Here is a 27,972-nt window from a genome sequence, read left to right on the forward strand (position 1 = left end):
AGACCAAATTACTGTCTTTACCATGGAGTCTAAAGTGATGTCTACTTCGTAAACAGGAATCTTAACTAAGTGGATTTTTTGCCTATATATCAATTTTCAAATTTACAAAGTGATAAATTTAGAATATTCTTCTCTTCTGTCATTATGTTCATCAGACTGATAATTATGCTTCTAGGTAACAGAGTTCTTTCTTTTTGTCTATAAAACTTCATGTTGCCTTTTCAAAATTGAAAAATATAGTTTAGCTACGAACAGAATGTTGCTGATGAGATATAGGAGGACTAAAGGACTTAACGAGAGGCACACAATTAAGCAGTAAAATTAGGGAACCAATGAGGTAATATACTTGAAAATAACTGTCATGGAGTTTCCAATCTGTTAGTTTCTCTCTTGAAGGTCTTTCAAATAGGTAGTGTATACCTTAGGCCGGGTGCGGTGGCTCACTCCTGTAATCCCAGCACTTAGGGAAGCCGAGGTGGGCGGATCATGAGGTCAGGAGATCGAGACCATCCTGGCTAACACGGTGAAACCCTGTCTCTACTAAAAACAGAAAAAATTAGCCGGGCGTGGTCGCGGGCGCTTGTAGTCCCGGCTCCTCGGGAGGCTGAGGCAGGAGGATGTGTGAACCCGGGAGGCGGAGCTTGCAGTGAGCCGAGATCGCACCACTGCACTCCAGCCTGGGCGACAGAGCGAGACTCCATCTCAAAAAAAAAAAAAAAAAAAAAAAAAAAAAAAAAAAAAAGAAGAAGATAATGTATGCCTTTCTGCTTTTGTAGTTTTGTTATATTTTTGTAGAATTAAAATCAAGGAAACCCTTAAAGGAGAAAGGAAGTCACATAAAGCTCTCTAGACTGAGGGATAAAGGAAAAGGGATTATTTAGGGGAATATCAATTTAGACTTTTGTTTTTGTTATTGTTTTAATCAGAGTAACTGTTGAGTTTTCCCCTTGTCTGAAGCAGTTGAGCTCACCCAAACCCAAGTGGGGCAGCCCTTCCTTGGAAGGATATGAGAGCAACGAGCGAAGAAAACTAAACCTATACCTTGCACTTAGTAAATACCAAATAGATATTTAGTTAGAATGCCTTCCAACCCCCCACAAAACAGATTTTTAATTAAGAATTACCTTAAATCCATAATTTTATGGGCTAATAGAAGCCACATTTGAGTCCCAGGGTAGAAATGTGAACATCAAAGCTGGTATCTGGAAGTATGGGTGAATAAATTCAACAGCTGATTGCTGTCTTTCAGCATATTCAGGTGTTAACTGAATAGATACTGAATACTTGTGTTCGGACATTTACCACACTTATTCCCCTGTATGCAGTTTTGTGGACAGTGTTCAGGATAAATAAATGATTGATTACCTCAGTTCTCACTGTAGCTATTTTGTTAGCAAAGATAGCGTTTCTGCCAAGAAACTTCATTTTTTCAGCATCCCTGGCAATTCTCTCTAAATTATAAATGTCAAAGCAAAAAAACACATCGTTTTCAATGAACAGTGGAATAATTGTTAAAGAATTAGTCAGCATCTCTTAATGTAATCCTGGGAATAGGTTCACATCTACCCAAGGAAAGACCTAGAAGGAAAAGGATGTAAAGAGGGAAGACCTCAGCCTCACACTGTCTTTCAGTGGATCTGTGGGGTGTAGATGTTCAGGCCACCTAGTGGGGAGGAAAGCCACTTGTTATGGTCTTGTGCCCCCATTCTTTGAAACTGACACTGTGTTCTTTTTGGTCTCCTTTCCCCAGTGTCTCCCTCTGTAAGCCCATTTTCAATCGTATTTTTAAGGTTTCTTTTGAAATTCAAGAGGAAAGCAACTCTTTTCTGATATCATAAGTGAAATTGTAGTTACTCTATGAAACAGAACTGCTGAGAAGATAAGGAACCTTTCAATCACACAGACATCTTTCACATACTAAAAACAGTGCAAATAAAACATAGTGGAAGAAAGGGCACTAAGGTTTTGTGCATGCCATATTTTGGAGAGAGGGAGTTCTTGCTAAGATTAACATAAACACTGACACTCTTAAAATGCATTTTCACACCCCCACTCATGAGGAGAGATTGCATTTTAAATGGGGGTTAAGACATCCAGGCGAACTCCAGGGCTCTGTAAAAGGAACCCTAAGGCTAAAGAGCTTATCTGAAATTTGAAAAAAAGAAAAAAAAATGAAGCCTTCTGACATTCATCTTTTTTTCTTGTATTAGTCATAACTTGCTTTTCAGCTATATTTTAGGTTTTGAATGCCAACCTGACATCTGTTCAAGTCTGCCTGTAATTTATTAGCAGAGGAAAAGACAGCAGTTGCTCACTAGTTAGAGATGCAAAATTTCTGCCTTCCTGTTCTCCACTAAGTACTTATAGATGATACCTGGATACGAAGAATGTAATAATTTACTGAAAACTTCAGGTCAGGAAATTTATAAAGATTTTTTTTTAATTAGAAGAATAAAATGGCTTAAGACCATGTGATTTCAAAAATCTCTAGATCAGGATTTAGAGACAAAACATAGACCCTAAAAAATACTTTAGATAACTTTCTATAAATTGTAATTTTTTTAACCTTGAATTAATTTTTCCATTGGTTTTAAATTTTTAAGTTAAATGTATATTTGAACAGCAGTTGTGCTTATATCTGAAAGTCAAACTGTATGTAAATTCACCTGGCATTTTGCATTTATAGACAGACTTTAAGAAACAAATCTTTTGGAGAGGTAGTGCTGTCTACAGAGTCACCAAATGGATTAGATTTCCTGGCAACTACAGTTGAGTTACTTACAGATCAACAGTTGGGTCACTACAAAGTTGAGATCTAAGTGTTAACCTGAGTGCCCACCAGTAAGAAACCGGTTAGAGGCAATCTTAAAATGATATAGCTCCAAATGTAGAGACATGTTTGTGTTAATAAAAAATATATAAAAGCAAATGCATTCTAAAAATCTCTAAGGACATACATTAAATTGAAAAAAGGTTTATGGCTGAATGTGGTGGCTCACACCTGTAATCCTAGCACTTTGGGAGGCTGAGATGGGAGGATCACTTGAGCTCAGGAGTTCAAGACCAGTCTGGGCAGCATAGTGAGACCTTGTCTCATTTATTTATTTTTTTAATTTAAAAATTTAATTTAAAAATTAAAAAAAGTGTTTACTTCCATGGAAGGGAAGCTAAGATGGGGAATAAAGGGAAAGTTTTGTTCTTTTACTCAATTTTACCTTTATGTCTGAATGTTTTATTGTATTTCTAATGTGTGATTTTAAAAGCCAACAGACAAAAGATAATATCACAGTATGTTTCTTGGGGTGACTCTACCATCAGCATGGAAAGTCAGCAGGAAACAGGTACATCCTTCCGCCTTCATGAAGTTTTCTGTGGAGGAGGAGAGTGCAGGGTAAAAGGCCTGGATTCCAAGGGCTTTGCTGGCAGCCCCTTAGAGGGTAGACAGAACACCTATCCTATTTGGTCAAGAAGAGAAAAAGTTTCTCCATATATAACAAACTGCTTTCCCCCAGAATGTTCTGCATTATAGTAATGGTGTAAGTAGTCTGCCCTTCAAACATGAGAACATTTGCATCCAGGCCTTTAGGCAGCCAAGGCAGCATTAAAGAAGAAAGAGTGGGAGCAGAGCAAGCTGAGGGAGAGCAGAGCTTCTGACATTTGAGGAACTGGGCGTGAATTTGTTTTTAGTCTTCAAAAACCATTCTCTTGAGGAATCGAATTCCCATGACTCCTGAAGTGAAGCGGTTGGTGTTTTCTCCCGCGTTACTCCCATACGTAAGTTGGTGATTATAATGAGGGTGGTGGCTAATACTTATATAATGCCAGACGCTGTTCTGTGTGCTTTATTATTGTGTTTATTAATCCTCACAACAACCTTCAGAAGTAGACACTGTATTGTCTCCATATTATGGAGCAGGAATCTCTGTCTCAAAAAGGTGAAGTAATGGGTCCAAGACACACAGCTAGTAAGTAGTAGAGTCAGATTTGAACCCAGGCAGTCGAGCCCCAGATTTCATTTCCTTAACCATTACATGTTATTCTCCCATGAAAGCCCATCGTGTAAAACCATTTTAATGGGCTTTCTAGCTTCACTTTTTTGGGGACCTTTGAAGCAATCATTGAGGCAGCCTTTGTTCTAGCCAAGGGCCAACCATGGCACCATTGAGATTTTGAGCTGTATAATTATTTGGTCTGGGGACTGGGTGTCCTTTGCATTGTAAATAACTAACTTTTCTAGTAATCTGATGTGTTCAAATTGTCATGAGCTCAAGAGACATGAAGATTTGGTGGTAGGCTGTAATACCTAATGCCACTTTTTTCATGTGTTTTTTGTCACGTGTTGTAGCAGAATACAGGAAGGAAGGAACTGGAATGGGTGTGTCAGAGAAGCTGTCTTAAACTGTCAACCTGGAGAGGGAACATAAATGTTAAAATTAAATAATCATTAAAAAATTAAGCAACGTAACAAGTGATATCAAAGGCCAGTATTTGATTAAGTGCCAGATGAGCAGTACAATTGATAAGCCCTACAGGAACTGAAAGGGAATCACATCGAGAAGACTTCATAGAAGAGGCAGAGCTTGAGTAAGGCCTTAAATGCTGAGCGGTTTTGGATAGGAGGAGGGAAGGGGATAGTTGTCCATATCCTGGGAAGAGTGACAGACTAAACACGGTATAGACTTCATGACTTAGACCAGTCTAACAGAGCTGTTGTTTGGAAGAAACAGGAAATAGGATTAAAAAGTTAGTTTTGGGTTGGGTTGTGGAAATCTGTGAGGAGATGTGGACTCTTTTTAAAGTACTGTCCCTGTTTAAGCTTCCAGACAGACTCAGAACCTTCCAGACAGACTCAGGTGCTTCTCCTGTGTTTCCCTGCACCTTGTATATACTTAGAATCCAGCTGTGTTCTTAATGTAATTATTCATTTGCATTACACTCCTAAGGCAGAATTTCTTAACCTTGGCACTATTGACATTTTAGGCTGGATAATTCTTAGTTGTAGGGCGCCTGACCTGTGCATCATAGGATGTTAAGCGCCATCCCTGGCCTCTACTTGATGTCAGTACTTCCCTTCCTCACCACTCCGAGCCCCAGTGACGATTAAAAGAAATGTGATGAAACTGTCCTGTGTTGAGAACCATTGCTCAAAGGCCTTTGAAGGCACAACTGTAATGTCTTCTTATCCATGTATTATCAACATCAGGGGTGTTGGGATGTAGGTTGCAGGTCATTGTTGGACCATGAACCACTGTTACCAGTCCACAATAAGACAAATATTGGAAATTAAGAATAAGTAATTACAAATGTTTATAGCAATTTGACATTATCACAATTTTTTTAAAATTATATTTTACAAAAATGTTGGTCTGCAATGGATTGGAAATTTAAAAGGAAAAAAAATACAGCTGGACCTTAGCATACATAGTTTGAGAAGCACTGGCCTATGTAAATATTTGCAAAATGAATGAAATTTTTTGAACAGATGCCTTAGAGAAAAGGTGAGGCGAATAGTCTTAGAGACCAGTAGACTATTGCTGTCCAGTGTGTGGTACTTAGAATCTGGATTGGGGTGAAGGCAACAGGAATGGAATGGGAAGAAAATACATGAAAAAATTGCAGACATGAAACTGGCAGAATTTGGCAATAGTTATTGTGGGTGACAGAATTGGAGGTGAGACTCAGGTCTTGTGAGAAAATGTTGGAAATGAGAAACTCAGGAGAACATAGTTTTGGAAAAGTAGAGAATATCATTGCACATATTTTCAATATCGTGAAAGGAAACTGGAAGCTGAACTGAAGAGAGGAAGAATTACTGGCATTTCAATTTATTGAAGCCTAGCTTCAATCAGTCTGCACGTGTTTAGGAAACACACTGTTGACTACTTTTGCTTGAAATACCCTCTTTACTTGGCTTTTCTCACTCCAAGCATTTCTGGTTTTCCTTTTACCTCTCTGGCTGTCTCTTTTCAACCTCTTTTGTGTCCCTTAAAATGTTGGGGTTCCTCAGGAGTCTGTCTTTGACCTATTATTTTTCTCTAATTATTCTCCTCCAAATTAATCACATCTGTTTCATAGCTTCAATTAGTATCTTTATGCTGCTAACTCTCAAATATGCATATGCCACCTCGGTCTCAGTTTAGAACTCTGGATTTGTACCAGCATAATGTGTTGGGTATTTCATGATCACATAGTAAGCTTGAAATTAAACACATTCAGTTGCCCCCTCAGTCCTCTCTAAACATGCATCTATATCTGTGTTTTCTATCTCTGGCAATACTCTAGCCAAAAATCTGGACACCTTTAACTCCTCTCTTTCCCTCACCTCCCACTTCCAGTAAGTCGCAGAATAGACCGTCAATTCTGCAATCTCCGCAATCTCTCTGAAATCCCTCCAGTTCTCTCTACCTCGCCCTGCCACTCTTCCTTCAGGACACCATTATCTCTTGCCTGAATTGCTCCATAAGCCCTCAGCCTTGCCCTTCTCTAATCCATTCTCCACACTGTAACTGGAGTGATTTTTATAAAAAGGCAAGTCTGATCCTGTCACTGCACTGGTTCAAACTCTTTAGCAGCCCGCCTTAACTCCTTACATGGTTTACAAGCCCTGTGTGATCTGGCTCCTGCTAAACTTTCTTGCTTCGCCTCTCAGCCCGTGCCCCTCCCCCATACTCTGGGTTCCAGCCAGCCTGTGCTATTTTCAGTTCCTCTAATTTGCCATGCTACTTTCTCTTACCTCTATATCCTAGGGTTATTTTTTTTTGCTTTTTTTTTTTCTTAACCATCTTTTCATCCAATTCCTGTTCACTCTTCAGGCCAAAGCTTTGAACTCACTGTTTCTAGAATGAGTAGGCTTTAATGTTCCTCATGTGTGTTCTAATAGCTCCATGTTATTTTATGCATTATTACATTGTATTATAATTGCTTATTACATGTCTGTATTCCAAGTCCTCTCTCCATGTCCCTGCCCTCACAAACATAGTATACCTTCAGTAAGGAATAGGCCTTGTTTATTTTGGTCACTGTCGTATTCTCTCCTCCCGGCATGGTGTCTGGCTTATAAGTTTTCAGGAAATAAATAAATGCCAGGAACTTGATTAATCTTGATTAATTAAATAGAACACTTAGACAGTTTGATCCAAGCCCTGCCCTCATGATACTTACAGTCTGTGTGGGAGTAACACTGTATTTGCACATCCCAAAGCAGTACTGTGTAAAACATAAGGTGCATTGTGAACCAGATTAGCAAAGTAGGCCACATGGAGAAGCAGCAGATGCATTTAAAGAGCAAGACTGAGCCATATCTTTAAAAGTCAAAGCAGATATGATGTTTATAATTCATTACTAAATCCATGTAGATCCTCTTAGATTCTGAATTTAGGAAAGACCTCTTGGATTGGTCCTGAATGGCACTAGGCTCCAGAAATAAGAAAAGGAAGAGTATTTTCTTGGGTACTTGTGAGCTACCATTTGCTTCATTGGGAACTGCCATTCTTATGTAAGGGCACTATAACAAGAGTGTTCACATTTAAGGGCATCAGGTCAATATTGCGTCTGTGTGAGTTTGTGTGCATGTGAATGCACACATGTATTTTCTATTTTTAAATAGAAACACATTATAAAAATAATGCATCCTCATAAAACAGCACAGATAGAGTAAAAAGTGAAATCTCCCTTCATTCTACCCACTCCAGTTTTACTCCCTCTCTTAGAGGTAGACACTGTAAAGAGATTGGTATGAATTTTTCAAACCCTTTCCTAAGTATTTATACAATAATATATAATCAATCCATTCATTCATTTATTGAGACAGGGTCTTGCTCTGTTGCCCAGGCTGGAGTGCAGTGGTGCAATCATACTCCGTTGCAGCCTCGCACTCCTGGGCTCAAGTAGTCCTCCCACCTCCACCTGCCAAGTAGCTGGGACTACACCCAGCTAATTTGTGTGTGTGTGTGTGTGTGTGTGTGTGTGTGTGTGTGTGTGTTTGTGTAGAATTGGAGTCTCACTATGTTGCTCAGGCTGGTCTCAGACTCCTGGCCTCAAGCAGTCCTCCCGCCTCAGCCTCCCAAAATGCTGGGATAACAGGCATCAGCCACTGTGCCTGACTTTTTTTTTTTTTTCAACCTAGTAGTGTATCTTGGGTTTTTTTCTGTGATAAAGCACACAGATAACATTTTATTTTTTAAAAAGTTAAATAGTATTAGCAGATCTGCATCCACACAAGTCCCGTCATGGTAAGTTAGCGTCTCTTCCTCAGCAGTAAGAAGGCTCCTAGGCACACACCAGAACAAGGTTGGCATTGCGTCTCCTTTCTACTCACTTGTATGGCCCTAGGCTTCTCAATGCGGCAGGGCCCTGGGCGCTCAGCTACTTGAGCCTTGGTACCCTTGCCTGAAAAATTGTTTATTGGTAGGTAACATTAATGTGTGTAAGTTTTCTAACACAGTACCTGGCTGACTGTCAAACACTCCATGGATGATAGTTACTTGGTATGATTATATTGCCAAGAGGCACTTTTGGAGCTCTGTAAAAGGCAAAAATTTATAACCCAATCCCTTTAATCTAATGTTAAGATGTGTTTTCTTCTTATCTTAAATTTTGTTGCTGTTGAAAATAGTTAACACCTGAGATTTTCCTCCTATGCTGTTTTATAATTACCCATTTTGAACAGTGTTTGTTGATAAGGTAGTCAAGGGGACACTTCGAAATATTTTTTCTTTATTTGTGAAGTCATACTTTGGCTGATTTATATTTAATTTTTATCACATTACATCGGAGAGGAGCAGATAAATTTTCTATCACCTCTATAAATTTTCTATCACATATAAGAAAGTGTATCTTATATGTGATACACTAACTTGGAAAAACAACAGCTATCTTGATAGACACAATAGAGAATAGGATGTCAGAGGAAGAGAAGAATTAGAATGTTAACAATAATGCTAGTAAAAAGCTACCCAGGACTTAAATGGTATTATTTGAGAGTACTTCTACCATGATTCAAATAAGACTTGCCTTGGAATTCCATATGATTTGTTACTTAGAGCAGTCTACCTTTAATATGTTTAATATGGTCATACTTTAAAAAAAAAAACCTGCAAGAAACTTGGGTTTCACGTTTTTGCTTTTTAAAGAATTAACATAATGTTATTTCAGGTTTGTAAAGGAAGTTACAGAAGATAGCAATAAATCCCTTCCATATACCATTTTAGTCATAGTGCAAAATTAGGCATTGAAAATTATTATGGGTACTGTATTAGATATTCAAAGATTTATTTGTGGCTTTGACTTCTTTACCAACACCTCTGGCTTTAATACAGTATCTTTTATCAGAGCAAGTAATAGTTTGAATCCTTTTCTTACAAATCCTCTTTTTACTCAAGTGACTGCAAACTTATAAAGATGCACACATCTGTAGCTTGAACGTCTATGCTATTTGCTCAAGTATTTACTTGAATTTATCCTCGATGATATGATTTTTTTAAGTGCTTTGATTTTAAATTCTATCTAGAATCCCATCATGAGGGAGAAATCTTAGCAAGACTTAAGCACCTTTTCATAATGACTGGTTACTGTAGGATAAACCTATAATTAGTATATTGCTAATCCACACGTTAGATATATCCCATCAAATTTCAAATATACACAGGAGAATTATCCACATTGAAGGTTATTAGTGCATTCCAGGGACATTTCCATGTTGATTCACAACTACCCCTTTACCTTACACTTTCCTGTGTTACTAGACGTCTCTTTCTGTAAAACTTCTCTTTGTTGTTACTTTTTACTTTTGTATGTGTTACCTGATTACTTTGGCTTCCTCTGTGACTACTGAGGGAGCCAATTGTGGCTGTGATGAGCTTAGAGAAAGGGAGATGGGGAAGACTCGCTTAAATGAGTTACAAATTCTCTGTAGTCTGATCTTTATCTGGCTATTGCAGTATGACCATGGGTGATACTAAATGAAATAGAACTCAACTCCCCAAAATTTGGATTTGTCTTATAAGTCGTAATGGCTCCAGGTGGGATACTGTGTCAGACCAAGGATAGGCAGATGATAGTTTATTGCCACAGTCAAAAGATCGAACCCTTTTTTTTCATGTTATCTAGAAATGAATCTTTAAAAAAAAAAAAAAGGAATGGGTTGAACTTATAATATTTTAGCAACTCATAAAATAACTTGAAGAAAAAGATCATTTGGAAGGAGAGACAAAACAGACTGAAAGACATTGTTTAAATTTATGACTTTTATTATCTTACTTGAATGCTATTTTTGCCCCTCTCGCTATTATTAAACCCTTTGCTTCCTGTTTTCAGTTGCTCCTGTCAAGGTATGAATTTTTCTTTGGATGATTGTCATCTATTTCATATTATCTAGTATTCCTCTCTATTATGAGAAAATCAAAAGTAGACAGTGTATCTATAGCTATAGATTTAAATGCACTAAGGTAATTATATATTTGAATCAGAGACCTAAGGAATAATCTAGTGTAGCATTTACCAAATTTATTTAAACTTAACATGCTTACATGAAGACAGACCTATTTATGTTTCCAAGGAACACCAGTTTGAGAAATGCTGATCTTACCTGTGTCATTCTTATTTTGTAGATGAGGACATTGGGACCTCAGAAGAATAAGGCAACTTATTTAGGCTAAAGTCACTGCTTGTCTACTGGGGCTGGAATCCAGGTTGCTTAGTCTGGTGCCCTTTAGGCTTCATGATTCAGCCACTTAAGACAATTTGATTTATTGTTGGGCTTTTTAATTCTAGATTTCATAACTTGGATATGAAACTGTACTTCCCAGTCTCCAAAATAAGCTTCACTGTTTTCTGGAACGTGAATTAGATTCAGAAAGCCCCTTACTGCCTTTAGATTATTGCAGCCTCCCCAGTGGGCCCCAGGGATCCAGGAAAAATATCTTTGTTTTTCACCTAGTCCTCTCCTCAGCTTTTAGAGGGACTCTTAGATCTATGTTTATGAAAAGACTTTTATTAGTTCTTATAGTTGTAGTAATGCATGTTTATTGTAGAAAATTTCAAAAATGTAGATGAATAAGAAGAATAAAACAATCACTCAGTGTAAAAAACAAAAAACCCTGAAAAAGTACCATTAATATTCTGGAGTATATCATCCAGCTAGTTTTAGCTGTATATACATAGAGCCAAAAAAAAAAAAAAAAGCATTTTGCTGTTTTATAACTGGTTTTCTCCCCACTCAGTAAGTTAACAGTTTTTCTTAAATATTCTCTACAACATTCTTTATTTTGTAGAATGATAATGCTGTGGTTTGTTTAATCAATCCCCTCTAGTTAGAAATTGTATTCAGTTTTTTACTATTATACACTATGTTTAACAAGCACCTTAGAAACTAAATATTTCTACACATTCATATTTCTTTAAGATAAATTCCTGGAAGTAGAATTGCTGAATCAAAAAGGATTCACAAGTGTAAATGTTTTTGACATGCACTGCCAAATTTAGACTTCCTTTTTGAAAAGTCAAATGTTAAGGAGATCAAAGCAATCACTAAGCAGGTACTCTGGAAGAGAAATAGAAATATAAAAAATATAATGGTTTCATGAGAAACTAATAGACAAGGTTCAAGAGACTTGGAGTCTAGTTTTGGATTTGTCATTGAATGGCTGTGACTTTTGGGTCTTAGTTTCCTCATTATAAAAATGGGAAGATAGACTAGAAATAGAAACTTTTTCAGAATAGTCACCTTATGAATGTTGTTTCAGTGAAATATAAAGGTCTGTACATAAGTTCTGCAGGGAAGATGCCATGTATTTGCTCATTCTTCAAGTTTCAGCTTGATTGCCTTTGGAAGGTCTGTCACACTTAACGTCCTCCTAATAGAAGTAATTGTTTTACTTTTTGGCTCCTCATAGCCCTTTTTAAATGTTGGTTCTGTATAGTTGTATCTTTGATTTTTAATATTGAGGTATTTGTAACAGAGGTTATCTTACTCATCTCCTGAAAGCACTTGGCTTAGCATAGTTCTTGGGTATATAATAGAGACTCAGTAAGTATCTGTGGAAGTTGAGAGTGATACCTTGTTCCCCAGTGTATAACAGCAAAGCCTAGCCTCCTCCTGTTGAGCATTGTCTGTTCTCGCTTTGAAGAGCTCACCACATTTCTTCAGTTTGTTTTTGTTTTTATTTTATTTTATTTTATTTTTTTTTTTTTTGGCGGGGTGGGGTCTTTCCTATTCAGTAACACAGTGGTTCTCAGTCTTTGGTGTGTATCAGAATTTTTTTTTTTTTTTAGAGTTTTGCTCTGTTACCCAGGCTGGAGTGCAGTCGTGTGATCTCAGCTCACTGCAACCTCTGCCTCCCAGGTTCAAGCGATTCTTGTGCCTCAGCCTCCCGAGTAGTTGGGATTACAGGCACATGCCACCATGCCTGGCTAATTTTTGTATTTTTAGTAGAGACAGGGTTTCATCATGTTAGCCAGGCTGCCCTTGAACTCCTGACCTTAAGCGATCCACCCACCTTTTCTGGTATTACAGGTGTGAGCCACCCTGCCTGGCCCAGAATTTTTAATGTTAAAAAAAATACAGATTTCCAGGCTCTCAAGTACACTGAATGTGAGTGTCAGGCACAAAGCCGAGACACAGCGCTGTCAATAGCTGAGCTCTCCTTGGGGTTTTAGCTTTGTCAGGCAAATTGATATTCAAGTTCCAGGTCTGCCACTTACCAGATGTGTCTTCCCCTTACCAGGGGAAGGTCACTTTACCACTGTAAGCCTCAGTACCTCTTCCTTAAAAAGAGGGTAAAAATAATACCTTAGCTCATAGTTTTAAAAATGATTACGTAAGAGAACATATTAAAACACGTAGTATAGCCCTTCCCATATCTGCAGTTCTGGCCTTGATCTGTAACTTCTTGGATCTTATATGCATTTATTATTTATTTGTTTCTTTTTAAAATAACATTTATATTTTTTCAACTTTTAGAGGTTAATATGTTCATTATAGAAAACTGAAAAACACAAGAGGCATATAACTAAAAAATCATCCATAACAGAATCAGTTTACATTCTGATGTATCTTTCCAGTCCTTGTATGTGTATACATATATACATAACTGAGTATACCTTTTTACATGGTTACACTTATATAGTATGTGCCATGCTTTCTTGCATATCATGAGTACTTGAGTATCAAAATACTCAGGGCTTTAGGATTCAGACATTGGTAAATATTCACGATACATTTTCTTATCTTTTGTGGGGACAAAAATATCTTAAAAAACAAAATGGCAACAGGTCTCTGGAAATGCATATTGGCAGGTTTATAGTTAAATACTGTGTTCACTTAATACCCAATATAAAATGAGATACAAAGCAGTCAAGTAAGTATAATGCTTCTTAGATAGTTCAGTATGAGATCTGCACTATTAAAATATTACCAGAAATGATGTTTCTACTTAATTATTTAACAATTCATATAGTATTCACAAAGTATACCAAGAAAAAAGCACACATATGTCAGTGGTTATAATCAGATTGTAAATATGGACATATCTATATATATCTCTTCCCTTACCTTTCTTTCTGCCCCTTCCTTAGCAATCCAGTACGTACTGATGTATACTGCTCATAGGTGGTTTAACATTGCCATTTCCAAGATGCTTCTTTTCTAATGAAATTAATTTACTATCTAGTTAATTCACTAGCTCTATTTTATACATTGTCACCTCATAACATCTAGAAAGCTTAGTGTTGTGAAGTAAGGACTGATAAACAGAGGCACTTTACTAAAAAATCACTTCCTAGAACTGCGGCTACAATATGAAACTATCTTCTAGATATGAACATACTTGCAAAGAACCTTCCTTTTGCCTTTCTTCTTCCTTCTTCAGCTCAATGAATAAGTACAGAAATGCATATAGCTCTACGAGATGGGTTAACAACAGTCACTCCCAGACAACAAGCCTTGCTAAAAACTCTAACAAGAGGACATTTATCAAAGAATTATTTTACTTCTTAAACTTTCAGCATACTTTGGGCACTTCTCAGCATTGGGGCCTTGTTTGTCCTTTGCATACTCAACAATGCTAAGTAAATGCACTTGCAGAACGACGAGTAGATAATCTGCATTTATCTCAAAACACACTGGCACAGAACTCTTCCACCGTCACTTCCTGTCTCTCCCACCTCCTTTACTACCCAATGAGCAAAGAATATGTAGCTCAAAGAGATAAAAGTTTAACAGTTCCATTCTAAAGACAGTCATTCCTGTTAATTGACATAAACTTACTTAAAGTGTGTTATTTTGTGAAGACTACATGTTTCAAACGTCTACTGTATAATGATAGCATTGATTAAATTGTGTGCATATAACAAAGGCTATAATCTGAAAGTATCTTCGAAATATGAATATTATAGCCAAGTACACTTCACCTTCTCACTTCCTTCTTATCATTATCAGCCCAAAGGACAATATCAGCGTTCCAAAAGTTGTTTTCAGAAGATAGTCTTACCTATGAAGTTTTCGGGCATACAAGAAAAGTATATAATATGTTTTAGTTCATCATCTCTTCTTTTGTCAAACATTAGCAACCTCTTTATCATCTAGACAACAAGATGTAAAATTAGGACTTGCTTGTTCATTGTACAGATAACCCTCAATGGGTTATGTCTCAGCAAACCCATCGTAAGTTGAAAATATCCTAAGTTGAGAGTGCATTTTTGACTTACAGTATTTTCAGTTGACTATGGGTTTATCTTGTCGTAACTGATTGTAAATCGAAGAGCATTACCAAATGCATATTGCTTTTATACCATCATAAAGTAAAAAAAATTGTTAAAAGTCAAACCAGTTTAAGTCGGGGACCATGTGTATACACTATGTGCACAGCAAAGTAAAATAAAATGCACAGAACATGCAGGTAATCTTGCCTAACTACAAACACATGGTATAGAACCCTTTATTCCTTCCTACACTTCCTTTGCCTTCCTCCTCCCTCAGTCCACAAGCACAGATCTGTACCACTCAAAGAGGAGGTCTAATAATCCCATTTCCGAAAGACAGTATTTCATTAAATTTATTAATTCCTTTTATCCAGGCATTTAGTGGTCATTTTTAGATGACCTTTACCACATATCTTCAGATGCTTTCACCGTCCGCCATAAGAATTTTTACTGAAATGAATTCTTGAAATGTTTAAAACTTTGTTACATTCTTTCTCGTTCCACAAGTAGTTATCCCTTCCCAGTTACCTTTCTTTTTTAGGTCTGTGGAGTCATGATACATCTATCCCCTTTTCCTTTGTTTTTCATGCATTTGTCAAATTTATTATTGAATACTCCTAAATTTTTTCTGCCTTTATCATTTGTTTTTTCTTTTTCATTGCTTTAGTCAGTTACCCTTGCACTACAGCAGTAGCCTCTTTATTATCTTCCTTGCCTTTAGTCTTCTTCCTTTCCATCCTGGAATATTTATTTCAGAGCTTACTGTACAAAAATACCAGATTCTATCAGAGAACATTAAAGGAATCACAGAATCTCAGTATTGCAAAGGATCTTAGCCATCTAGTGCACACACCTGTTTTTTATTTGAATCTCTTCTACATTTCTTTTTATTATTATTATTATTATTATTATTATTATTTTTGAGATGGAGTCTCACTCTAATGCCCAGGCTGGAGTGCAGTGGTATGATCTTGGCTCACCGCAACCTCTGCCCCCCTGGTTCAAGAGATTCTCCTGCCTCAGCCTCCCAAGTAGCTAGGATTACAGGCGTGCACCACCATGCCTAGCTAATTTTTTGTTTGTTTGATTGTTTGTTTGTTTGTTTTGAGATGGAGTCTGGCTCTGTCGCCCAGGCCGGAGTGCAGTGGCATGATCTCGGCTCACTGCAAGCTCCGCCTCCCGGGTTCACGCCATTCTCCTGCTTCAGCCTCCCTAGTAGCTGGGACTACAGGCGCCCGCCACTATGCCTGGCTAATTTTTTGTATTTTTAGTAGAGACGGGGTTTCACTGTATTAGCCAGGATGGTTTTGATCTCCTGACCTTGTGATCCGCCCGCCTTGGCCTCCCAAAGTGTTGGGATTACAGGTGTGAGCCACCGTGCCTGGCCTTTTGTATTTTTAGTAGAGACGAGGTTTCACCATGTTGCCCAGGCTGGTCTCGAACTCCTGAGGTCAGGTGATCCACCCGCCTCAGCCTCCCAAAGTGTTGGGATTACAGGCATGAGCCACCGTGCCTGGCCTTTTGTATTTTTAGTAGAGATGAGGTTTCACCATGTTGCCCAGGCTGGTCTCGAACTCCTGAGGTCAGGTGATCCACCCGCCTCGGCCTCCCAAAGTGTTGGGATTACAGGCGTGAGCCACCGTGCCTAGCCTTTTGTATTTTTAGTAGAGACGAGGTTTCACCACGTTGCCCAGGCTGGTCTCGAACTCCTGACGTCAGGCGATGCACCCGCTTCGGCCTCCCAAAGTGCTGGGATTACTCATGCCTGGCCCTCTTCTGCATTTCTGCTGAGTAACTTCTGCCAGGTTCCTTAGGCTAAGCTTAAGTTCCTCCAGTGACAGGAATCTCACTCCCTCCTAAGGCTACATTCCTCTTTTGGACAACTATAGGTTTAAGTTTAGTCTTCCTTATGTTAAGGTAAGATGTATTTGCTTGTATCTTCTCCTACAAGCTCTGGTTCTTCCCCTGAAACTACACAGAACAAGCATGATACTACTTCTTTATGAACACTCTTTAGGTATGAAGAAAGCTATTGTCCAGACTTCCCTGCAGATTCCTCTTTTCTCTAAGCTAATTCTCCTAAGCTTGGTTGGTTTTTTCTAGCCAGTCTTTTTAGCCCTTTACCATCCTATTCACGTTTCTGTGAACTTTAACATTTATGTATATTAATGTTAAGCTGTGAAACCTAGAATTTAGTGGAGTAATGCAAATGTGGTCTCTGTTGTAAAATAGATCAGAACTATTTATTCTTTATTTAAAACACTAGTCCTTTAATGTAGGCCGAAATTGTGCTAACATTTTTGACATCGACATTCTATCTTAATGCTTATCTAATTTACTAATGAATGAAATTCCCAGTCATCTCTCACAAAACTGTATCTCCCCCAGCTGTACTCAAGTACAGAAAACATCTATTCTTGATAACTTTTATCTTGTTAGAATAGCTCTTTTCTCTTCTATAGCTACAACTTGTCAGTGTGTCCTTATCAGCTTATGATTTAATTGAGGCTATAGAACATATACACTTAAAAAAAATAAGCTAAGAACTCTTAGAATAAAACAACATAATGTATTGTCAGTTGTAACCATGAATGATGTTTTTCAAAGTGTGTCCTCTGGCCTACATTAGAGTTACTTAGGGCGCTTGTTAAATATTCAGTTTCACTCCAGACTTAATGAATTCAGATTTCTAGGAGTGATGTCTGGAAATCTGCATTTTAACAAGCTCCATTGGACATTGGTGCATATTAAAGGTTGACAGCTGCTACTCTAAGTACTGAAGGATTGAGCCCAAAGATATGATCAGAATTAGGTGGCATTAATAAAGGAGGTGATTTCTGGGGACAGAAGAACATGAACTGTTAGAGTAGGTAGAAATTCCAGGTGTAGTAAAGAAGAAATAAATTGTCTGCTAGGGAAGATATTTGCTAGGCTGAATTAGGGGCCCAATAGAACAGCACATAAAAGGAGTTAAAAGCTAAGGGACGGAAGGAAAAAAAACAAAGAAAGAAAAAACTATAAAATTCTGAAACCAGTAAAGATACATGCTGCCATTTGGCAGCAAGGCAGACCTGCTATAGAAGAAGCATGATCTTTGTCATCAAGAATTCATGAAATACCAGGCAACACCCTATGAGGGAATGTAAAAGGGTGGGGGTGTCAGCAAAGATTAGTTTGGAGCATTGCTACACACATCTCATCTTTAGTTCTAGGCTATCTAATGAGAAAATCTATATTAAATCTAAGTTGACTGATTTGGATATAGACCAGTCGGATGGTAGACAGCTTGCACAGCTGCTTGGTGCTCAGGAAATAGGCTGTTTTCACTAGCATAGCAAAACTCAGAGTGCTCTTGGCATTTTGAAGTTGGTGGGACAACAGCAAGTCTCTACCAGACAGAATAGTGCCACGAAAATGGATGGTCAAAGTCCCGACTGCCCAGATGGTATCAGGAGTAGTGGTCTTGGTCTTAAGTATTTCCATTTCTTAAAGATTTCATAAGTGCACAGATAAACAAGTGTAGATGACAACCTATTTTAGATGTTGATTGAGAGTCTTAAGGCCAGGCGTGGTGGCTCACACCTGTAATCCCAGCACTTTGGAGGTCGAGGAGGCTGATCACTTGAGCCCAGGAGTTTGAGACCAGCCTGGGCAACATGGTGAAACCCCATCTCTACAAAAGAATACAAAATCAGCCAGGCATGGTGGCATGCACCTGTGATCCCAGCTACTCGGGAGGCTGAGGCGGCAGGATGGCTTGAGCCTGGGAAATGGAGATTGCAGTGAGCTGAGATAGTGCCACTGCCCTCCAAAGCCTGGGCAACAGAGTGAGACCCTGTCTCAAAAAAAAAAAAGGTTTTTGAAACAAAAGGCCCTCCTATATAATGAGTCAATGAAAGTTATGCTCTTAGAGTAAATAATTATATTGTACTACTGAAATGGTAAGTCAAGTAGAACTAAGAAAATACTCATGACTCTAGTTCCAATTTACAATTTTCAACAGAACCATAAGAGAAGTTGTAATTATGGAAACTTAAATGATCAAATATTAATTTGTGTCCAGGCGCAGTGGTTCACACCTGTAATCCCAGCACTTTGGGAGGCTGAAATGGGTGGATCACCTAAGGTCAGGAGTTCAAGACTAGCCTGGCCAACATGGTGAAACCCCATCTCTACTAAAAATACAAAAATTAGCTGGGCATGGTGGCACCTGTAATCCCAGCTACTCAGGAGGCTGAGGCAGGAGAATTGCTAGAACCTGGGAGACGGAGGTTGCAGTGAGCCGAGATTGTGCCACTGCACTCCAGCCTGAGCAAGACTCTGTCTGAAAAAAATATAATAATAATAATTATGATTATATTTAAAAGATCAAATATTAATTTGTGATTATATTTTCTACAAGGGCATGCACTATTTAAAATTGAGCACTCAAATCTGGTTTGCACAACTGCACAGAGAAGCTTGCAAGACTGCCGAATATGTCCTGACTTGCTACTAGTCTTTTGATAGCCTCCTTCTTTGGCAAACATGGCTAGTCTGCATTTGTACTGGAAGCCACTTGGGATTCCTCTTTAAACATCAGTCATTGTTCAAAACCCACTTCGCACTTCTTTCTCTCTTTATAGATCATGTTGCCCCCAAAATGAACTGAACACTCTTATCTTAATGCTAATTTGACAGAGACCACTTCTAATTTATTATCATCCTGCTTACTCTTATATAAAATTAGTGTTTGCTATAGTTTTTTCTCCCTTTGAATACCTCAAAGTTGACTGACAGTTTTTCCTCAACGCAGCTTGCCTCTGATAACATCCAGAAAAAATGAAGAAAATATACTGCTTTGTAAAATAGAAGAGCTTAACAAGTACAAATTTGTCACTTTTTTCGGGTGTTTCGAAAGAGTGTAAACAGTAAACATTGCTGTTTATTTCTTGTGTTTCAGAAGTAAGGCTATGTATTTTTATCGAGCTATTTACAATTTACATATAAGATGTAAGTATTTTCATGAATCATTTTCATCAGTGGGGTGGATATACCTATCATAGCGGATACGGTCCTATTCTGACTTTTAGATCAGAAATCACTTTCAGTTATTTGTAGCACACACCTTAAAGCCTATTAAAGTTCTCCCCACCAAAATTTGTATTATTATAATCACTGGATGTCAACACCTGTGGCTCAAACAGTATCCAAATTTTGTATATTGTTGGAGGATTGCTGATTTAACTGAGAGTTGTAGCTAGAAATAAGGTGAGAAAGAATATACAGGTAATACTAATCCACCTCAAACTAAGAAGCAAAGGATGGTGGATGGGCTATGTTGATCTAGCGTTGCAAAAACACTTTTGGATGAAGTGCCCAGAAATAGCCCCAGTTCCTTTCACTAGAATCAGCTTGTCCCAGGTGAATGCCGGCAGAGCAGGGTGTGTGCTCCCCAAGAAAGGGCAGTGACCGCTTTCCAATGTCTGGCAGTTAGGGGCCATGAGAGTAGTTGCAATTGGCAAGATAAAGGGGAACTTTGGAAAATAAATATACTTATGATAGAGGAGGCAGGAGAAAAGGTCAAGGGCTGTACACATGTGGAACTGATAATCATGGTAGCTTGGCTTCTATGAATGGGTACATGTTGACCCTTAAGTGAGCTTAGAAAGCTTGAGAAATCAGTATGCGTGAACTGTTTGAGGCATAAGAAAGGCAGGATTTTAAAACTTTTTTTTTAATTTGTGCAAATTTATGGGATACATGAGAAATTTTTTACATGTATGTAATATGTAGTGATCAAGTCATGGTATTCAAGGGATCTGTCACCCCAGTACAATATATTCTTATTAAGTATAGTCATCCTACCCTGCTATCAAACATTGAATTTATTCCTCCTATCTTACTGTACGTTTGTACCTTTAGCCTACTTCTCCTTAGCCTCCCTTCATCCCCAGTCACCCTCCCCAGTCTCTGTTGTCTACTTTTCCACTCTCTACCTCCATGTGTTCAAATTTTTTACCTCCTACATATACGTGAGAACATCTGATTTTTGTATTTTTGTGTTTGGCTTATTTCATGTAAGATAATGATCTCCACTTCCATCCATGTAGCTGCAAATGACATAATTTCATTGTTTTTATGGATGAATTGTATTCCATTGTGTAGAAGCAGGCAGAATTGACTCTGATAGTAGTCTAGCTGGAAGAGAGGCTATAGCTACAAAGAATCTTGACTTACCAAAACACTAGTAACATGTCTGTGAAACTGCTGTAGTCTAACTCATTTACTACTATGTTAATTTGGAGCGTGAAGTTCATCAGTGGAATGGGTACTATAATTTGCGAAGTTCAAGTGACAATTCTGGTAGATAAAGTTTTAAGGAGCAGATGGTCACAACTGTCAGTCTCAGAAGTAATTTGGTAAGTAAAATAGTCATTTATTTGGAAGTTTTTTGGTAACCTAATTGTGATCTAATTGTCACCAGTTGGGAGTCTAATTCCATTTTCATCACTCATCTGCAGAAAGGTGAGAGAAATAAGCTATTAATTAATAGCCAATATTTACGAGCTCTTACTATCCACCATAAAGTATGCTAAGTGCTTTATGTGCATTATACTTAATTATAGTAACTTTCTGAGGTAGTTACTATTATTATTTCCAGCTAGTTAGTGGAAGAACCAGGATTTGAATCCAGGCAAACTGACTGCAGAGCCCTCACTTTTAACACTACACATAAAACTGAGTTTATTTAACAGAAAACACTGTCCTTTAACCTGAGATTGTGTCTACCTTTCAATACTAAAATGTACTTTTTATATGAAATGGTGGTGATAGATGATGTCAGGTTTGATTTTCTTTTTTTTTTTTTTTTTTAAGAAATCTTTACCTTGCAAAACTAAAACTAAAACAACCCAATGACAGCACTGCTCTCCAGTTTAAAGAAAACAAACGTTCTTTTGCTAGTTGTGAAATCTAAATTTGAGAACCACTGACTAGAAAAGTGGGACTCTTAGTAATTTTTAAAGTTCTTTAGAGATTTTTCACCTGATTTATTTTCTGATTTCAACCTCCTTGTTTTCATTAACCTTTTCCTTAAGTCCACCTCAGCCACTCATTCTTCGATTATACACAAGACTTTGTTTGCCATTACCAGCAACCACACCACTTTGGGGATCTCAGATGTAAGCATCTTGCTCTCGCGCTGCCTCCCATTTTTCCTTGCTTACTCCTAGCATTTCTCCTGTTACCAACTCCAGCAACTTGGACCCCACTGGAACCTCCAGTATAATTTATTCTATCAGTTCCCAATCTTTTTGTTCTCTCTCTCCTCTTTCCCCAGCTTAACCTCCATGGTCTATCACATATATCCTCTTTGTATACACCCTTAGCAGCCTTGCTCCTCATCTTCTGTTGTCAAATCCACAAGTGTTTCTCAGCTACCTGCCTACTCTGTGCCAGTATTCTCGCTGTTAAGCATGGCTTAAGAAAAACACAAAACCACAGTGTCTGATCTCACTTTAAATTTATGAACCAAATCTCAAGTGAGCCCTCAGTATTTCTTGGAACAGATATTCCTAGTATTCCTTCTGTATTTCCCTAGTCCAATCCATTTATTCTCCTATTCTCTGAGATGACTAGTTCTTCTTCTCTATTTGGCTCAACCCCCAAGCACCACCTCTTCCATCTTTACCAGCAGCTGATGACCTGGAATCTTTACTTCACGGAGGAAATAGAGGCAAACAGAAGAGAACTTCTTCATCTTCTTCATCTTCCCACCACAAGATGTATGATTGGTTGAATGAGAGAAAGACTGTGATGTCCTAGAACTTCAGTTGCTCCTATATCCAATGTAATTAGCAACTTAAATTCCAAAACCATATATAAAAATCGATTTTTGGCCATTTGAGATTATACTCTTTACTACCACTTTCCTTTCTCTTATTATAACCAAGAGTTGTTACTATGTTTGTGCCTCATCCAAATAAAAAGTAGGTATTTTTTAGAAAATGATTAACGGGAGCAATTAGTAAAACAAGCAGTAAAATACCCGGATACAGGAAATTGAGCCAGGCTTGCTGGTATGTGCTTGTCCCAGCTACTCGGGAGGCTGAGTTGGAAGGATCGCTTGAGCCCAGGAGTTCCAGGTTATAGTGAGCTGTGTCACACCACTGAACTCTGGCCTGAGTGACAGAGTGAAACCCTGTTTCTAAAAAAGTACTTGACATAGGATATTGAGAGAAGAAATGCTTTGGAACTATGTTTGATTATACCCTTAGCCCACCTTAGTTCTTACTTAAGTAAGTTATAGATGAAGGAGAAAAGATGGGAATCACTTTGAAGATTAAGGCCTCAAACTTTGTGGAAAATGGAGGAAAAAATGTTGAAAACAGTCATGTGATAGTTTTTACCTTACACTTTTGATGGGAAAATTAGATAATAGAATTGAGCTATACGTATGTTGACTGCACATTACATTAATTTAATCCTGTTATTTACCTCATATTGCTAACCTTTAAAATTAAGATTTGAAAAAAAAGAGATGGGTAAAACCAAAAAGGTCAAAATTTGTATGCCAGCTTAGATGAAATTTGTATTTATAGAACTGAATAAGAATCTACACCTTACCTAATACTGTGAATTGCTTATGTAAATACAACAAAGGATGGTCCCTCGATGACCTGAATCTCATATGCTGAGTTCACTTAGTAACAGCGTCCGTCTGCTCAGACACATTTTCCCAACTCCCCATGTGCTTTCCAAACCTTTACCATGTTTCCCAGTATCCTCTCTTCATCCCTCATTTTGTTGATGACCTAGTTCCTGCTTCACATAGTCAACAGAACCCAACAGGAATAACCTCAGCTTTCTTCCTCCTTGTCCCTTTATTTAACTGGTCTCAGAAGGAGAGGTGTCTTTACAAGCTCTCCCTCTCCATTCCTCCTCTGTTGCCAAAGTTCCTGAAAGTGTGGTCTCCATATCTGCTTATGCTACTTAGTTTTCTTCTAAGTGAAAGGTAGGGACTCAACCCCAAATGCTCTGACCCTGTTCGAAGACCCTGTGGCCTAGAGCGGCATGTATTTCCTGATTTCTAAACCTAGTGCCCTTTTTCCAGGCCTCATCCTCTATCACTGCAGCATTTATCTCTGTTGTCACATTCTTCTGCTTAAAACTTTTCACAGCTTTTCACGTACCCAGGGCAGGCATTCAAAAATATTGAAGCAGTAGTTTTGATGTCTTTTCTGAGCTTTCACCAGTATTTTTAATAGGCACTACTGCCTAAATGTCAAATGCCTTATAGCCAAAAACAAGTAATGATTTCCTGTAATCTCCAAACTGATTCCTCTTCCTCTTGCTATGTCTTGGTATCCCTGAGGTTACCATCATTTTATCCATGTACCCATGCTAGATGCCTCAAGGTCATCCTTGACTCCTCTTCCTTCTCTGGTTTCCATTTGGTTTCTAAGCTTTGATGAGTATCTCCCGCATCTTCTTTTCTTTTTCTACTATTTCCTATGACTCTTGCCTCTTTCTGTTTATTGTCTTTTGTCTGGATTATTTCAGTAATATGTTCAGGAGTTTCTAATTTGGATTCCATGGATGGACCTCAAAGGATTAAAGAACTCTCTCAAATTTGTATGCAAATTTTTTGTGCATGTGCATTTTCCTGGGGAGGTCCATTAGACTGTTCTGTGGGAAAGAGAGGAATAGAATGAGAGACAATGACAATTTAAATCAGGTCCACTGATTTCTCGTTCTATACCTGGCCTTTGTTATTTAGGTCACTAACCTAAGGCACTTATCTCTGAGGAGTGAGGTGGCATGTAAGATATTAAGAATAAAACAGCAGCATTAGTCAGTCCAGCTGGGCAGTCAGTCCAGCAGCCAGAGATCAGAGGCTCCTCAATATCAGATCCAGGCTTTAATATCCTAGAGAAGCTCAGGAGAAAGCTGGGGCATCAGCAGGAGCAGAGGGTGTCCTCCCGAGGCCCCTGGACCCATTTGTTCCTGTGCTTCCAAAGGACTTAGAGGGATATGAAAACTTAACTGGCAAGAATCCAGAGTGAGTTGGTATCCCCAGAAAAAGGTTCAGAACATTCCCCCAGCTAGCCTCCCCTCCTTTGCCTGTTTGGTCTCTCGTTCTTTCTCCACTCTGCCAACACAGTTAGCTTTTAAATACATATCTCCTGGTGTGCCTTCCGTGATTGTCACTTACACCTAAGGGTGATTAGACTAATCACCCAAAAATGTGGGGTTTTAATCACCTATGAAACAAGTTAAAAAATCATGGTCATGGTTTCAAGGCCTGCCAGTTAGGAGCCTGCCAGCCTCGTCGCCAGGCACTGCCCTCTCCTCACTTCCAGGGCTCTGGCTACAGCAGGTTACTACTGGCTGTTTCGAGAGAACAGTGTCTGTGTCCATATCCCTATGCCTTTGATCATGCTAGTCTCTCTCTTTGGGGTGGCATTTCCTCTCCATTGCCTGTGAACCTCCTACTCATTCTTCCAGGCCCACAATGGATGTTAGCTCTTCACCTGAGTCCATTCTTAATTTTCTGCCATCACTCTGGCAGAATCAGTATCTCTTGGCTAGAGTCCAAAAACATTTCATACATATCTCTGATAATGTCATATTATATTGTAGATAGCCTATTTTTATTTCTGTCTTTCCTACTAAGCCAGAAATGCCCTACAGCTAGGGACTGTCTTTTTCATGTTTGTATCCCTAACAGCTACCTTTGCATCTAGTCTAAACATGAGCTTAGTACACTTTTGTTGAATGGAATTAGTTATAAAGAGTTTTTATGACTCATTTAAAATTAGAGACCAATGCTTACTTAATAAGTCAGAATAGGCTGTAATAATAATAGTAATAATAAAGTCCCATTTCCACTGCTTATTCAAGTAACAGCTTCCTTTGTGGAAGTACATTTTGAAAGACTTCACATGTCAGTGTATATTTTTGATGTGCTCATTTGAGATCCTAAAAGAATTATAGTTCTAAAGCAGACTAGAGCTTCTATTACATTCCTGTTGAAGTTATATTAAATATATTCTATCGTTTCACATATCTGTATTATATATAATAAGTTGCATGGGTAAACATTTTATCTCTTTTAAACTTCATGGTAATAATTTGTGAATTGTTTATTTTATAATATCTGAGTAAATTTAGTTCAAAACACATTAATTTGAGCATTTTCTGTGTACAGAAGCATAGTTGCAAAGTTAAGATTCTTGTGTTTATGTTGTTTTGTTAAATTCGGAAAGTCTCAGTCATTGCAAATGTATTTTTTTTTTAAGTATTTAAATTAGCTCAGCTATGAGAATAAGCACAGTCCATAAATTAAGAGCTTCAAATAATTTTTTAAAATCCTTCATATTCTTTGAGTTTTGTAGGAAAAGAATCAACAGTTTACTTATTCAGCCTTTCCTGAAGTCCATAGTAGGTGCTGGGCATCATGCTGGGTGAATGAGATAGTACTTGCATTTGAATAGTTTACAGTCTTATAGCGAAGAAGCCATGTAAACAGAGAATTGCAATATAAACCTTGGAGGAGAGGAAGGAAGACTACTTTGAGAACCGAGATTAGGTTGAGAATGGATGAGTCTGCTGATCAATTTATAGATAAAGAAGCAGAGAGGTGAAGTCTTTTTTTTTTTTTTTTTTTGATATGTGAAATAGGAACCTAGGTTATCTCTAAGAATTCATAGCAGGGGGTAGCTCTTGAGAAGAACAGTGAAGATCTGGATAATTAATAAGGAGAATTAGAGATGAGCTAACAAAGACAAGTAAAGAGTGGCATGAGAAAGCAGTGAGCATAGAACTGAAACTGGATAGCATGAAATTCTGGAGGTATCAGTCAGTAGCACAGTGGTATAATTTTCTCCAGCTGTGCTATGGAGAAATTATACACATTGTGGCCAATGTGTAGTGAATAAAGCCATATTGTATTCAGGGACTATGGGGTGGTTATAACAGAAATTTACAAAGAATAAATAGTTAAAAGTCCTTCAAAGAAAGCATGGCTTACTAGGGAAGGCAGTATGGTTAAGAGGAAGTTGATAAACTTGGAGAAAATGTAGAAGTCAAGAAGTTGGAGATCAGAAGGGCTGGTGCTTTGTAGGAACTCAGAAAATCTTCATTTTCTTCTTTCTGGATGTCCTCTCCCTATGAATGTTTCACCACCACCACCTGCCTCAGCTACAGTTTATACATATGAATAGTTTCAAATCATGATGGTAACAGTTGGCTCAGAGGGCAAGATTAGGAGCCAGACTTCAACGTGCTGCTAATCCAGCGTGTCCCTGTAACTTAGATGCTGGTAGTGCTTGGTGGTATTGGCCTCTAGGAGAAGCTCAAGGCTTCTCCTGTTATCTCCCTACCACTCATACTTGGAGGGTGAGTCAAAGGCCAAAAAGCATTTTATTGGGCAGTGGTTCTTAGGGAAGGGATTTACTCTGTGATGCAGAGGGTTAAGACTGTAAGCCATCAAGTGTTTCCCCTCCCTCTCCATGTTCAACCAAAGGCACAGTTCTTATTACTTTCAAGGATTTAAAAAGGAGTCTTTTCTCAGCATAAAGGAGGAAGTGAAGACCAATTTTGACAGCCCAAAGGGTCTTCCTCCTCAGAATCTAAAATTTCTAATAGAGTTGTTTGCATCTTGTGATTTTACTTGAGTCATCAAATGTATTGTACTTTTTTTCTTAAAGATATACTTTTTAATGCTTTCATTTCAGATAAGGACAAACCATTTTCCATGGCGACACACTATTTATATTGCATTTTCAGAAATTTCCCTTTTTACCCATACTTAGGAGTGTGACACTGAAACCTGATAATCTATTATTTCACAGAGTGCTTTTTTGGGTGTAATATAAAGATATTATATAATTTTAATAACCTTTGAGGTACAAGTGGTTTTTGGTTACATGGATGAATTATATAGTAGTGAAGTCTGAGATTTTAGTGCAGGACCCATTGTCCAAGTAGTGTAAACTGTACCCAATATTAGTTTTTTATTCCTCACTCCCCTCTCACTTTCCCCACTTCTTAATTTTCTGCCATCACAATGTGTTGCCCAGGCTGGTTTCATGCCCTCACTTTCCCCACTTCTGAGTTTCCAAAGTCTATTACTCTGTACACCTTTGTGTACCCATAACTTACCTCCCTCTTGTAAGTGAAAACATATGGTATTTGATTTTCCATTCTTGAGTTACTTCACTTAGAAAAATGGCCTCCAGCTCCATCCATGTTGTAGCAAAAGATGTGACTTCGTTCTTTGTTATGGCTGAA

The 27,972-nt window shown here is 38.1% G+C and overlaps 1 protein-coding gene across 2 annotated transcripts in view; it reads left to right on the forward strand.

The window, feature by feature from the left end:
• Positions 1 to 27,972, forward strand: part of LRRC37A2 (leucine rich repeat containing 37 member A2) — a 676,337-nt gene that overhangs the window by 55,430 nt on the left and 592,935 nt on the right. The gene's annotated exons all lie outside the window — the stretch shown is intronic.

Source organism: Homo sapiens, chromosome 17, assembly GCF_000001405.40.
Source record: "Homo sapiens chromosome 17, GRCh38.p14 Primary Assembly".
NCBI classification, from domain to species: Eukaryota; Metazoa; Chordata; class Mammalia; order Primates; family Hominidae; genus Homo; species Homo sapiens.